We start from the raw sequence: 15014 nt of genomic DNA on the forward strand, positions 1-15014 counted from the left end.
GGAACGTCCCTTTAGACAGAGCAGATTTGAAACACTCTTTTTGCGGAATTTGCAAGTGGAGATTTCTAGCCATTTGATGCCAACAGTAGAAAGGGAAATATCTTCAAATAAAAACCAGACAGAATCATTCTCAGAAAATTCTTTGTGATGTGTGCGTTCAACTCACATAGTTTAACCTTTCTTTTCATAGAGCAGTTTGGAAACACTCTGTTTGTAAAGTCTGCAAGTGGATATATGGACCGCATTGAGGCCTTCGTTGGAAAAGGGATTTCTTCATTTCATGCTAGACAGAAGAATTCTCAGTAACTTCTTTGTGCTGTGTGTATTCAACTCACAGAGTGGAACGTCCCTTTGCACAGAGCAGATTTGAAACACTCTTTTTGTGGAGTTTGCAAGTGGAGATTTCAAGCGATTTGATGCCAACAGTAGAAAAGGAAATATCTTCAAATAAAAACTAGACAGAATCATTCTCAGAAACTACTTTGTGATGTGTGCCTTCAACTCACAGAGTTTAACCTTTCTTTTCTTAGAGCAGTTTAGAAACACTCTGCTTGTTATGTCTGCAAGTGGATATTTGGACCTCTTTGAGGCCTTCGTTGCAAACAGGGTTTCTTCCTTTAATGCTAGACTAAGAAGAGTTCTCAGTAACTTTTTTGTGTTGTGTGTATTCAACTCACAGAGTTGAACCTTGCTTTAGAGAGAGCAGATTTGAAACACTCTTGCTGTGGCATTTTCAGGTGGAGATTTCAAGCGATTTGAGGACAATTGCAGAAAAGGAAATATCTTCGTATAACAACCAGACAGAATCATTCTCAGAAAGTGCTTTGTGATGTGTGCGTTCAACTCACAGAGTTTAACCTTTCTTTTCATAGAGGAGTTTGGAAACACACTGTTTGTAAAGTCTGCAATTGGATATATGGACCTGTTTGAGGCCTCCGTTGGAAACGGGATTTCTTCATTGAATGCTAGACGGAAGAATTCTCAGTAAATTCTTTGTGTTGTGTGCATTCAACTCAGAGAGTGGAACGTCCCTTTAGACAGAGCAGATTTGAAACACTCTTTTTGCGGAATTTGCAAGTGGAGATTTCTAGCCATTTGATGCCAACAGTAGAAAGGGAAATATCTTCAAATAAAAACCAGACAGAATCATTCTCAGAAAATTCTTTGTGATGTGTGCGTTCAACTCACATAGTTTAACCTTTCTTTTCATAGAGCAGTTTGGAAACACTCTGTTTGTAAAGTCTGCAAGTGGATATATGGACCGCATTGAGGCCTTCGTTGGAAACGGGATTTCTTCATTTCATGCTAGACAGAAGAATTCTCAGTAACTTCTTTGTGCTGTGTGTATTCAACTCACAGAGTGGAACGTCCCTTTGCACAGAGCAGATTTGAAACACTCTTTTTGTGGAGTTTGCAAGTGGAGATTTCAAGCGATTTGATGCCAACAGTAGAAAAGGAAATATCTTCAAATAAAAACTAGACAGAATCATTCTCAGAAACTACTTTGTGATGTGTGCCTTTAACTCACAGAGTTTAACCTTTCTTTTCTTAGAGCAGTTTAGAAACACTCTGCTTGTTATGTCTGCAAGGGGATATTTGGACCTCTTTGAGGCCTTCGTTGCAAACGGGGTTTCTTCCTTTCATGCTAGACTAAGAAGTGTTCTCAGTAACTTTTTTGTGTTGTGTGTATTCAACTCACAGAGTTGAACCTTGCTTTAGAGAGAGCAGATTTGAAACACTCTTGCTGTGGCATTTTCAGGTGGAGATTTCAAGCGATTTGAGGACAATTGCAGAAAAGGAAATATCTTCGTATAATAACCAGACAGAATCATTCTCAGAAAGTGCTTTGTGATGTGTGCGTTCAACTCACAGAGTTTAACCTTTCTTTTCATAGAGGAGTTTGGAAACACACTGTTTGTAAAGTCTGCAGGTGGATACATGGACCTGTTTGAGGCCTTCGTTGGAAACGGGATTTCTTCATTGAATGCTAGACGGAAGAATTCTCAGTAAATTCTTTGTGTTGTGTCCATTCAACTCACAGAGTGGAACGTCCCTTTAGACAGAGCAGATTTGAAACACTCTTTTTGCGGAATTTGCAAGTGGAGATTTCTAGCCATTTGATGCCAACAGTAGAAAGGGAAATATCTTCAAATAAAAACCAGACAGAATCATTCTCAGAAAATTCTTTGTGATGTGTGCGTTCAACTCACATAGTTTAACCTTTCTTTTCATAGAGCAGTTTGGAAACACTCTGTTTGTAAAGTCTGCAAGTGGATATATGGACCGCATTGAGGCCTTCGTTGGAAACGGGATTTCTTCATTTCATGCTAGACAGAAGAATTCTCAGTAACTTCTTTGTGCTGTGTGTATTCAACTCACAGAGTGGAACGTCCCTTTGCACAGAGCAGATTTGAAACACTCTTTTTGTGGAATTTGCAAGTGGAGATTTCAAGCGATTTGATGCCAACAGTAGAAAAGGAAATATCTTCAAATAAAAACTAGACAGAATCATTCTCAGAAACTACTTTGTGATGTGTGCCTTCAACTCACAGAGTTTAACCTTTCTTTTCTTAGAGCAGTTTAGAAACACTCTGCTTGTTATGTCTGCAAGTGGATATTTGGACCTCTTTGAGGCCTTCGTTGCAAACGGGGTTTCTTCCTTTCATGCTAGACTAAGAAGAGTTCTCAGTAACTTTTTTGTGTTGTGTGTATTCAACTCACAGAGTTGAACCTTGCTTTAGAGAGAGCAGATTTGAAACACTCTTGCTGTGGCATTTTCAGGTGGAGATTTCAAGCGATTTGAGGACAATTGCAGAAAAGGAAATATCTTCGTATAATAACCAGACAGAATCATTCTCAGAAAGTGCTTTGTGATGTGTGCGTTCAACTCACAGAGTTTAACCTTTCTTTCCATAGAGGAGTTTGGAAACACACTGTTTGTAAAGTCTGCAATTGGATATATGGACCTGTTTGAGGCCTTCGTTGGAAACGGGATTTCTTCATTGAATGCTAGACGGAAGAATTCTCAGTAAATTCTTTGTGTTGTGTGCATTCAACTCACAGAGTGGAACGTCCCTTTAGACAGAGCAGATTTAAAACACTCTTTTTGCGGAATTTGCAAGTGGAGATTTCTAGCCATTTGATGCCAACAGTAGAAAGGGAAATATCTTCAAATAAAAACCAGACAGAATCATTCTCAGAAAATTCTTTGTGATGTGTGCGTTCAACTCACATAGTTTAACCTTTCTTTTCATAGAGCAGTTTGGAAACACTCTGTTTGTAAAGTCTGCAAGTGGATATATGGACCGCATTGAGGCCTTCGTTGGAAACGGGATTTCTTCATTTCATGCTAGACAGAAGAATTCTCAGTAACTTCTTTGTGCTGTGTGTATTCAACTCACAGAGTGGAACGTCCCTTTGCACAGAGCAGATTTCAAACACTCTTTTTGTGGAGTTTGCAAGTGGAGATTTCAAGCGATTTGATGCCAACAGTAGAAAAGGAAATATCTTCAAATAAAAACTAGACAGAATCATTCTCAGAAACTACTTTGTGATGTGTGCCTTCAACTCACAGAGTTTAACCTTTCTTTTCTTAGAGCAGTTTAGAAACACTCTGCTTGTTATGTCTGCAAGTGGATATTTGGACCTCTTTGAGGCCTTCGTTGCAAACGGGGTTTCTTCCTTTCATGCTAGACTAAGAAGAGTTCTCAGTAACTTTTTTGTGTTGTGTGTATTCAACTCACAGAGTTGAACCTTGCTTTAGAGAGAGCAGATTTGAAACACTCTTGCTGTGGCATTTTCAGGTGGAGATTTCAAGCGATTTGAGGACAATTGCAGAAAAGGAAATATCTTCGTATAATAACCAGACAGAATCATTCTCAGAAAGTGCTTTGTGATGTGTGCGTTCAACTCACAGAGTTTAACCTTTCTTTTCATAGAGGAGTTTGGAAACACACTGTTTGTAAAGTCTGCTAGTGGATATATGGACCTGTTTGAGGCCTTCTTTGGAAACGGGATTTCTTCATTGAATGCTAGACGGAAGAATTCTCAGTAAATTCTTTGTGTTGTGTGCATTCAACTCACAGAGTGGAACGTCCCTTTAGACAGAGCAGATTTGAAACACTCTTTTTGCGGAATTTGCAAGTGGAGATTTCTAGCCATTTGATGCCAACAGTAGAAAGGGAAATATCTTCAAATAAAAACCAGACAGAATCATTCTCAGAAAGTGCTTTGTGATGTGTGCGTTCAACTCACAGAGTTTAACCTTTCTTTTCATAGAGGAGTTTGGAAACACACTGTTTGTAAAGTCTGCAATTGGATATATGGACCTGTTTGAGGCCTTCGTTGGAAACGGGATTTCTTCATTGCATGCTAGACGGAAGAATTCTCAGTAAATTCTTTGTGTTGTGTGCATTCAACTCACAGAGTGGAACGTCCCTTTAGACAGAGCAGATTTGAAACACTCTTTTTGCGGAATTTGCAAGTGGAGATTTCTAGCCATTTGATGCCAACAGTAGAAAGGGAAATATCTTCAAATAAAAACCAGACAGAATCATTCTCAGAAAATTCTTTGTGATGTGTGCGTTCAACTCACATAGTTTAACCTTTCTTTTCATAGAGCAGTTTGGAAACACTCTGTTTGTAAAGTCTGCAAGTGGATATATGGACCGCATTGAGGCCTTCGTTGGAAACGGGATTTCTTCATTTCATGCTAGACAGAAGAATTCTCAGTAACTTCTTTGTGCTGTGTGTATTCAACTCACAGAGTGGAACGTCCCTTTGCACAGAGCAGATTTGAAACACTCTTTTTGTGGAGTTTGCAAGTGGAGATTTCAAGCGATTTGATGCCAACAGTAGAAAAGGAAATATCTTCAAATAAAAACTAGACAGAATCATTCTCAGAAACTACTTTGTGATGTGTGCCTTCAACTCACAGAGTTTAACCTTTCTTTTCTTAGAGCAGTTTAGAAACACTCTGCTTGTTATGTCTGCAAGTGGATATTTGGACCTCTTTGAGGCCTTCGTTGCAAACGGGGTTTCTTCCTTTAATGCTAGACTAAGAAGAGTTCTCAGTAACTTTTCTGTGTTGTGTGTATTCAACTCACAGAGTTGAACCTTGCTTTAGAGAGAGCAGATTTGAAACACTCTCGCTGTGGAATTTTCAGGTGGAGATTTCAAGCGATTTGAGGACAATTGCAGAAAAGGAAATATCTTCGTATAATAACCAGACAGAATCATTCTCAGAAAGTGCTTTGTGATGTGTGCGTTCAACTCACAGAGTTTAACCTTTCTTTTCATAGAGGAGTTTGGAAACACACTGTTTGTAAAGTCTACAATTGGATATATGGACCTGTTTGAGGCCTTCGTTGGAAACGGGATTTCATCATTGAATGCTAGACGGAAGGATTCTCAGTAAATTCTTTGTGTTGTGTGCATTCAACTCACAGAGTGGAACGTCCCTTTAGACAGAGCAGATTTGAAACACTCTTTTTGCGGAATTTGCAAGTGGAGATTTCTAGCCATTTGATGCCAACAGTAGAAAGGGAAATATCTTCAAATAAAAACCAGACAGAATCATTCTCAGAAAATTCTTTGTGATGTGTGCGTTCAACTCACATAGTTTAACCTTTCTTTTCATAGAGCAGTTTGGAAACACTCTGTTTGTAAAGTCTGCAAGTGGATATATGGACCGCATTGAGGCCTTCGTTGGAAACGGGATTTCTTCATTTCATACTAGACAGAAGAATTCTCAGTAACTTCTTTGTGCTGTGTGTATTCAACTCACAGAGTGGAACATCCCTTTGCACAGAGCAGATTTGAAACACTCTTTTTGTGGAGTTTGCAAGTGGAGATTTCAAGCGATTTGATGCCAACAGTAGAAAAGGAAATATCTTCAAATAAAAACTAGACAGAATCATTCTCAGAAACTACTTTGTGATGTGTGCCTTCAACTCACAGAGTTTAACCTTTCTTTTCTTAGAGCAGTTTAGAAACACTCTCCTTGTTATGTCTGCAAGTGGATATTTGGACCTCTTTGAGGCCTTCGTTGCAAACGGGGTTTCTTCCTTTCACGCTAGACTAAGAAGAGTTCTCAGTAACTTTTTTGTGTTGTGTGTATTCAACTCACAGAGTTGAACCTTGCTTTAGAGAGAGCAGATTTGAAACACTCTTGCTGTGGCATTTTCAGGTGGAGATTTCAAGCGATTTGAGGACAATTGCAGAAAAGGAAATATCTTCGTATAATAACCAGACAGAATCATTCTCAGAAAATTCTTTGTGATGTGTGCGTTCAACTCACATAGTTTAACCTTTCTTTTCATAGAGCAGTTTGGAAACACTCTGTTTGTAAAGTCTGCAAGTGGATATATGGACCTGTTTGAGGCCTTCGTTGGAAACGGGATTTCTTCATTGAATGCTAGACGGAAGAATTCTCAGTAAATTCTTTGTGTTGTGTGCATTCAACTGACAGAGTGGAACGTCCCTTTAGACAGAGCAGATTTGAAACACTCTTTTTGCGGAATTTGCAAGTGGAGATTTCTAGCCATTTGATGCCAACAGTAGAAAGGGAAACATCTTCAAATAAAAACCAGACAGAATCATTCTCAGAAAATTCTTTGTGATGTGTGCGTTCAACTCACATAGTTTAACCTTTCTTTTCATAGAGCAGTTTGGAAACACTCTGTTTGTAAAGTCTGCAAGTGGATATATGGACCGCATTGAGGCCTTCGTTGGAAACGGGATTTCTTCATTTCATGCTAGACAGAAGAATTCTCAGTAACTTCTTTGTGCTGTGTGTATTCAACTCACAGAGTGGAACGTCCCTTTGCACAGAGCAGATTTGAAACACTCTTTTTGTGGAATTTGCAAGTGGAGATTTCAAGCGATTTGATGCCAACAGTAGAAAAGGAAATATCTTCAAATAAAAACTAGACAGAATCATTCTCAGAAACTACTTTGTGATGTGTGCCTTCAACTCACAGAGTTTAACCTTTCTTTTCTTAGAGCAGTTTAGAAACACTCTGCTTGTTATGTCTGCAAGTGGATATTTGGACCTCTTTGAGGCCTTCGTTGCAAACGGGGTTTCTTCCTTTCATGCTAGACTAAGAAGAGTTCTCAGTAACTTTTTTGTGTTGTGTGTATTCAACTCACAGAGTTGAACCTTGCTTTAGAGAGAGCAGATTTGAAACACTCTTGCTGTGGCATTTTCAGGTGGAGATTTCAAGCGATTTGAGGACAATTGCAGAAAAGGAAATATCTTCGTATAATAACCAGACAGAATCATTCTCAGAAAGTGCTTTGTGATGTGTGCGTTCAACTCACAGAGTTTAACCTTTCTTTTCATAGAGGAGTTTGGAAACACACTGTTTGTAAAGTCTGCAAGTGGATATATGGACCTGTTTGAGGCCTTCGTTGGAAACGGGATTTCTTCATTGAATGCTAGACGGAAGAATTCTCAGTAAATTCTTTGTGTTGTGTGCATTCAACTCACAGAGTGGAACGTCCCTTTAGACAGAGCAGATTTGAAACACTCTTTTTGCGGAATTTGCAAGTGGAGATTTCTAGCCATTTGATGCCAACAGTAGAAAGGGAAACATCTTCAAATAAAAACCAGACAGAATCATTCTCAGAAAATTCTTTGTGATGTGTGCGTTCAACTCACATAGTTTAACCTTTCTTTTCATAGAGCAGTTTGGAAACACTCTGTTTGTAAAGTCTGCAAGTGGATATATGGACCGCATTGAGGCCTTCGTTGGAAACGGGATTTCTTCATTTCATGCTAGACAGAAGAATTCTCAGTAACTTCTTTGTGCTGTGTGTATTCAACTCACAGAGTGGAACGTCCCTTTGCACAGAGCAGATTTGAAACACTCTTTTTGTGGAATTTGCAAGTGGAGATTTCAAGCGATTTGATGCCAACAGTAGAAAAGGAAATATCTTCAAATAAAAACTAGACAGAATCATTCTCAGAAACTACTTTGTGATGTGTGCCTTCAACTCACAGAGTTCAACCTTTCTTTTCTTAGAGCAGTTTAGAAACACTCTGCTTGTTATGTCTGCAAGTGGATATTTGGACCTCTTTGAGGCCTTCGTTGCAAACGGGGTTTCTTCCTTTCATGCTAGACTAAGAAGAGTTCTCAGTAACTTTTTTGTGTTGTGTGTATTCAACTCACAGAGTTGAACCTTGCTTTAGAGAGAGCAGATTTGAAACACTCTTGCTGTGGCATTTTCAGGTGGAGATTTCAAGCGATTTGAGGACAATTGCAGAAAAGGAAATATCTTCGTATAATAACCAGACAGAATCATTCTCAGAAAGTGCTTTGTGATGTGTGCGTTCAACTCACAGAGTTTAACCTGTCTTTTCATAGAGGAGTTTGGAAACACACTGTTTGTAAAGTCTGCAAGTGGATATATGGACCTGTTTGAGGCCTTCGTTGGAAACGGGATTTCTTCATTGAATGCTAGACGGAAGAATTCTCAGTAAATTCTTTGTGTTGTGTGCATTCAACTCACAGAGTGGAACGTCCCTTTAGACAGAGCAGATTTGAAACACTCTTTTTGCGGAATTTGCAAGTGGAGATTTCTAGCCATTTGATGCCAACAGTAGAAAGGGAAATATCTTCAAATAAAAACCAGACAGAATCATTCTCAGAAAATTCTTTGTGATGTGTGCGTTCAACTCACATAGTTTAACCTTTCTTTTCATAGAGCAGTTTGGAAACACTCTGTTTGTAAAGTCTGCAAGTGGATATATGGACCGCATTGAGGCCTTCGTTGGAAACGGGATTTCTTCATTTCATGCTAGACAGAAGAATTCTCAGTAACTTCTTTGTGCTGTGTGTATTCAACTCACAGAGTGGAACGTCCCTTTGCACAGAGCAGATTTGAAACACTCTTTTTGTGGAATTTGCAAGTGGAGATTTCAAGCGATTTGATGCCAACAGTAGAAAAGGAAATATCTTCAAATAAAAACTAGACAGAATCATTCTCAGAAACTACTTTGTGATGTGTGCCTTCAACTCACAGAGTTCAACCTTTCTTTTCTTAGAGCAGTTTAGAAACACTCTGCTTGTTATGTCTGCAAGTGGATATTTGGACCTCTTTGAGGCCTTCGTTGTAAACGGGGTTTCTTCCTTTCATGCTAGACTAAGAAGAGTTCTCAGTAACTTTTTTGTGTTGTGTGTATTCAACTCACAGAGCTGAACCTTGCTTTAGAGAGAGCAGATTTGAAACACTCTTGCTGTGGCATTTTCAGGTGGAGATTTCAAGCGATTTGAGGACAATTTCAGAAAAGGAAATATCTTCGTATAACAACCAGACAGAATCATTCTCAGAAAGTGCTTTGTGATGTGTGCGTTCAACTCACAGAGTTTAACCTTTCTTTTCATAGAGGAGTTTGGAAACACACTGTTTGTAAAGTCTGCAATTGGATATATGGACCTGTTTGAGGCCTTCGTTGGAAACGGGATTTCTTCATTGAATGCTAGACGGAAGAATTCTCAGTAAATACTTTGTGTTGTGTGCATTCAACTGACAGAGTGGAACGTCCCTTTAGACAGAGCAGATTTGAAACACTCTTTTTGCGGAATTTGCAAGTGGAGATTTCTAGCCATTTGATGCCAACAGTAGAAAGGGAAATATCTTCAAATAAAAACCAGACAGAATCATTCTCAGAAAATTCTTTGTGATGTGTGCGTTCAACTCACATAGTTTAACCTTTCTTTTCATAGAGCAGTTTGGAAACACTCTGTTTGTAAAGTCTGCAAGTGGATATATGGACCGCATTGAGGCCTTCGTTGGAAACGGGATTTCTTCATTTCATGCTAGACAGAAGAATTCTCAGTAACTTCTTTGTGCTGTGTGTATTCAACTCACAGAGTGGAACGTCCCTTTACACAGAGCAGATTTTAAACACTCTTTTTGTGGAGTTTGCAAGTGGAGATTTCAAGCGATTTGATGCCAACAGTAGAAAAGGAAATATCTTCAAATAAAAACTAGACAGATAATCATTCTCAGGAAACTACTTTGTGATGTGTGCCTTCAACTCACAGAGTTTAACCTTTCTTTTCTTAGAGCAGTTTAGAAACACTCTGCTTGTTATGTCTGCAAGTGGATATTTGGACCTCTTTGAGGCCTTCGTTGCAAACGGGGTTTCTTCCTTTAATGCTAGACTAAGAAGAGTTCTCAGTAACTTTTTTGTGTTGTGTGTATTCAACTCACAGAGTTGAACCTTGCTTTAGAGAGAGCAGATTTGAAACACTCTTGCTGTGGCATTTTCAGGTGGAGATTTCAAGCGATTTGAGGACAATTGCAGAAAAGGAAATATCTTCGTATAATAACCAGACAGAATCATTCTCAGAAAGTGCTTTGTGATGTGTGCGTTCAACTCACAGAGTTTAACCTTTCTTTTCATAGAGGAGTTTGGAAACACACTGTTTGTAAAGTCTGCAATTGGATATATGGACCTGTTTGAGGCCTTCTTTGGAAACGGGATTTCTTCATTGAATGCTAGACGGAAGAATTCTCAGTAAATTCTTTGTGTTGTGTGCATTCAACTCACAGAGTGGAACGTCCCTTTAGACAGAGCAGATTTGAAACACTCTTTTTGCGGAATTTGCAAGTGGAGATTTCTAGCCATTTGATGCCAACAGTAGAAAGGGAAATATCTTCAAATAAAAACCAGACAGAATCATTCTCAGAAAATTCTTTGTGATGTGTGCGTTCAACTCACATAGTTTAACCTTTCTTTTCATAGAGCAGTTTGGAAACACTCTGTTTGTAAAGTCTGCAAGTGGATATATGGACCGCATTGAGGCCTTCGTTGGAAACGGGACTTCTTCATTTCATGCTAGACAGAAGAATTCTCAGTAACTTCTTTGTGCTGTGTGTATTCAACTCACAGAGTGGAACGTCCCTTTACACAGAGCAGATTTGAAACACTCTTTTTGTGGAGTTTGCAAGTGGAGATTTCAAGCGATTTGATGCCAACAGTAGAAAAGGAAATATCTTCAAATAAAAACTAGACAGAATCATTCTCAGAAACTACTTTGTGATGTGTGCCTTCAACTCAGAGTTTAACCTTTCTTTTCTTAGAGCAGTTTAGAAACACTCTGCTTGTTATGTCTGCAAGTGGATATTTGGACCTCTTTGAGGCCTTCGTTGCAAACGGGGTTTCTTCTTTTAATGCTAGACTAAGAAGAGTTCTCAGTAACTTTTTTGTGTTGTGTGTATTCAACTCACAGAGTTGAACCTTGCTTTAGAGAGAGCAGATTTGAAACACTCTTGCTGTGGCATTTTCAGGTGGAGATTTCAAGCGATTTGAGGACAATTGCAGAAAAGGAAATATCTTCGTATAATAACCAGACAGAATCATTCTCAGAAAGTGCTTTGTGATGTGTGCGTTCAACTCACCGAGTTTAACCTTTCTTTTCATAGAGGAGTTTGGAAACACACTGTTTGTAAAGTCTGCAAGTGGATATATGGACCTGTTTGAGGCCTTCGTTGGAAACGGGATTTCTTCATTGAATGCTAGACGGAAGAATTCTCAGTAAATTCTTTGTGTTGTGTGCATTCAACTGACAGAGTGGAACGTCCCTTTAGACAGAGCAGATTTGAAACACTCTTTTTGCGGAATTTGCAAGTGGAGATTTCTAGCCATTTGATGCCAACAGTAGAAAGGGAAATATCTTCAAATAAAAACCAGACAGAATCATTCTCAGAAAATTCTTTGTGATGTGTGCGTTCAACTCACATAGTTTAACCTTTCTTTTCATAGAGCAGTTTGGAAACACTCTGTTTGTAAAGTCTGCAAGTGGATATATGGACCGCATTGAGGCCTTCGTTGGAAACGGGATTTCTTCATTTCATGCTAGACAGAAGAATTCTCAGTAACTTCTTTGTGCTGTGTATATTCAACTCACAGAGTGGAACGTCCCTTTACACAGAGCAGATTTGAAACACTCTTTTTGTGGAGTTTGCAAGTGGAGATTTCAAGCGATTTGATGCCAACAGTAGAAAAGGAAATATCTTCAAATAAAAACTAGACAGAATCATTCTCAGAAACTACTTTGTGATGTGTGCCTTCAACTCACAGAGTTTAACCTTTCTTTTCTTAGAGCAGTTTAGAAACACTCTGCTTGTTATGTCTGCAAGTGGATATTTGGACCTCTTTGAGGCCTTCGTTGCAAACGGGGTTTCTTCCTTTCATGCTAGACTAAGAAGAGTTCTCAGTAACTTTTTTGTGTTGTGTGTATTCAACTCACAGAGTTGAACCTTGCTTTAGAGAGAGCAGATTTGAAACACTCTTGCTGTGGCATTTTCAGGTGGAGATTTCAAGCGATTTGAGGACAATTGCAGAAAAGGAAATATCTTCGTATAATAACCAGAGAGAATCATTCTCAGAAAGTGCTTTGTGATGTGTGCGTTCCACTCACAGAGTTTAACCTTTCTTTTCATAGAGGAGTTTGGAAACACACTGTTTGTAAAGTCTGCAAGTGGATATATGGACCTGTTTGAGGCCTTCGTTGGAAACGGGATTTCTTCATTGAATGCTAGACGGAAGAATTCTCAGTAAATTCTTTGTGTTGTGTGCATTCAACTCACAGAGTGGAACGTCCCTTTAGACACAGCAGATTTGAAACACTCTTTTTGCGGAATTTGCAAGTGGAGATTTCTAGCCATTTGATGCCAACAGTAGAAAGGGAAATATCTTCAAATAAAAACCAGACAGAATCATTCTCAGAAAATTCTTTGTGATGTGTGCGTTCAACTCACATACTTTAACCTTTCTTTTCATAGAGCAGTTTGGAAACACTCTGTTTGTAAAGTCTGCAAGTGGATATATGGACCTGTTTGAGGCCTTCGTTGGAAACGGGATTTCTTCATTGAATGCTAGGCGGAAGAATTCTCAGTAAATTCTTTGTGTTGTGTGCATTCAACTCACAGAGTGGAACGTCCCTTTAGACAGAGCAGATTTGAAACACTCTTTTTGCGGAATTTGCAAGTGGAGATTTCTAGCCATTTGATGCCAACAGTAGAAAGGGAAATATCTTCAAATAAAAACCAGACAGAATCATTCTCAGAAAATTCTTTGTGATGTGTGCGTTCAACTCACATAGTTTAACCTTTCTTTTCATAGAGCAGTTTGGAAACACTCTGTTTGTAAAGTCTGCAAGTGGATATATGGACCGCATTGAGGCCTTCGTTGGAAACGGGATTTCTTCATTTCATGCTAGACAGAAGAATTCTCAGTAACTTCTTTGTGCTGTGTGTATTCAACTCACAGAGTGGAACGTCCCTTTGCACAGAGCAGATTTGAAACACTCTTTTTGTGGAATTTGCAAGTGGAGATTTCAAGCGATTTGATGCCAACAGTAGAAAAGGAAATATCTTCAAATAAAACTAGACAGAATCATTCTCAGAAACTACTTTGTGATGTGTGCCTTCAACTCACAGAGTTTAACCTTTCTTTTCTTAGAGCAGTTTAGGAACACTCTGCTTGTTATGTCTGCAAGTGGATATTTGGACCTCTTTGAGGCCTTCGTTGCAAACGGGGTTTCTTCTTTTCATGCTAGACTAAGAAGAGTTCTCAGTAACTTTTTTGTGTTGTGTGTATTCAACTCACAGAGTTGAACCTTGCTTTAGAGAGAGCAGATTTGAAACACTATTGCTGTGGCATTTTCAGGTGGAGATTTCAAGCGATTTGAGGACAATTGCAGAAAAGGAAATATCTTCGTATAATAACCAGACAGAATCATTCTCAGAAAGTGCTTTGTGATGTGTGCGTTCAACTCACAGAGTTTAACCTTTCTTTTCATAGAGGAGTTTGGAAACACACTGTTTGTAAAGTCTGCAATTGGATATATGGACCTGTTTGAGGCCTTCGTTGGAAACGGGATTTCTTCATTGAATGCTAGACGGAAGAATTCTCAGTAAATTCTTTGTGTTGTGTGCATTCAACTCACAGAGTGGAACGTCCCTTTAGACAGAGCAGATTTGAAACACTCTTTTTGCGGAATTTGCAAGTGGAGATTTCTAGCCATTTGATGCCAACAGTAGAAAGGGAAATATCTTCAAATAAAAACCAGACAGAATCATTCTCAGAAAATTCTTTGTGATGTGTGCGTTCAACTCACATAGTTTAACCTCTCTTTTCATAGAGCAGTTTGGAAACACTCTGTTTGTAAAGTCTGCAAGTGGATATATGGACCGCATTGAGGCCTTCGTTGGGAACGGGATTTCTTCATTTCATGCTAGACAGAAGAATTCTCAGTAACTTCTTTGTGCTGTGTGTATTCAACTCACAGAGTGGAACGTCCCATTGCACAGAGCAGATTTGAAACACTCTTTTTGTGGAGTTTGCAAGTGGAGATTTCAAGCGATTTGATGCCAACAGTAGAAAAGGAAATATCTTCAAATAAAAACTAGACAGAATCATTCTCAGAAACTACTTTGTGATGTGTGCCTTCAACTCACAGAGTTTAACCTTTCTTTTCTTAGAGCAGTTTAGAAACACTCTGCTTGTTATGTCTGCAAGTGGATATTTGGACCTCTTTGAGGCCTTCGTTGCAAACGGGGTTTCTTCCTTTCATGCTAGACTAAGAAGAGTTCTCAGTAACTTTTTTGTGTTGTGTGTATTCAACTCACAGAGTTGAACCTTGCTTTAGAGAGAGCAGATTTGAAACACTCTCGCTGTGGAATTTTCAGGTGGAGATTTCAAGCGATTTGAGGACAATTGCAGAAAAGGAAATATCTTCGTATAATAACCAGACAGAATCATTCTCAGAAAGTGCTTTGTGATGTGTGCGTTCAACTCACAGAGTTTAACCTTTCTTTTCATAGAGGAGTTTGGAAACACACTGTTTGTAAAGTCTGCAATTGGATATATGGACCTGTTTGAGGCCTTCGTTGGAAACGGGATTTCTTCATTGAATGCTAGACGGAAGGATTCTCAGTAAATTCTTTGTGTTGAGTGCATTCAACTCACAGAGTGGAACGTCCCTTTAGACAGAGCAGAT

The 15014-nt window shown here is 39.0% G+C and overlaps 1 annotated feature.

Moving 5' to 3' along the window:
* Window positions 1-15014: part of a centromere (Linear centromere model derived predominantly from reads generated in PMID: 17803354. This region does not represent an actual centromere sequence, as long-range ordering of repeats and unmapped WGS contigs is not provided by the model. For details of model production, see http://arxiv.org/abs/1307.0035.) that runs on past both edges of the window.

Source organism: Homo sapiens, chromosome 7 (assembly GCF_000001405.40).
Source record: "Homo sapiens chromosome 7, GRCh38.p14 Primary Assembly".
Classification (NCBI taxonomy): Eukaryota; Metazoa; Chordata; class Mammalia; order Primates; family Hominidae; genus Homo; species Homo sapiens.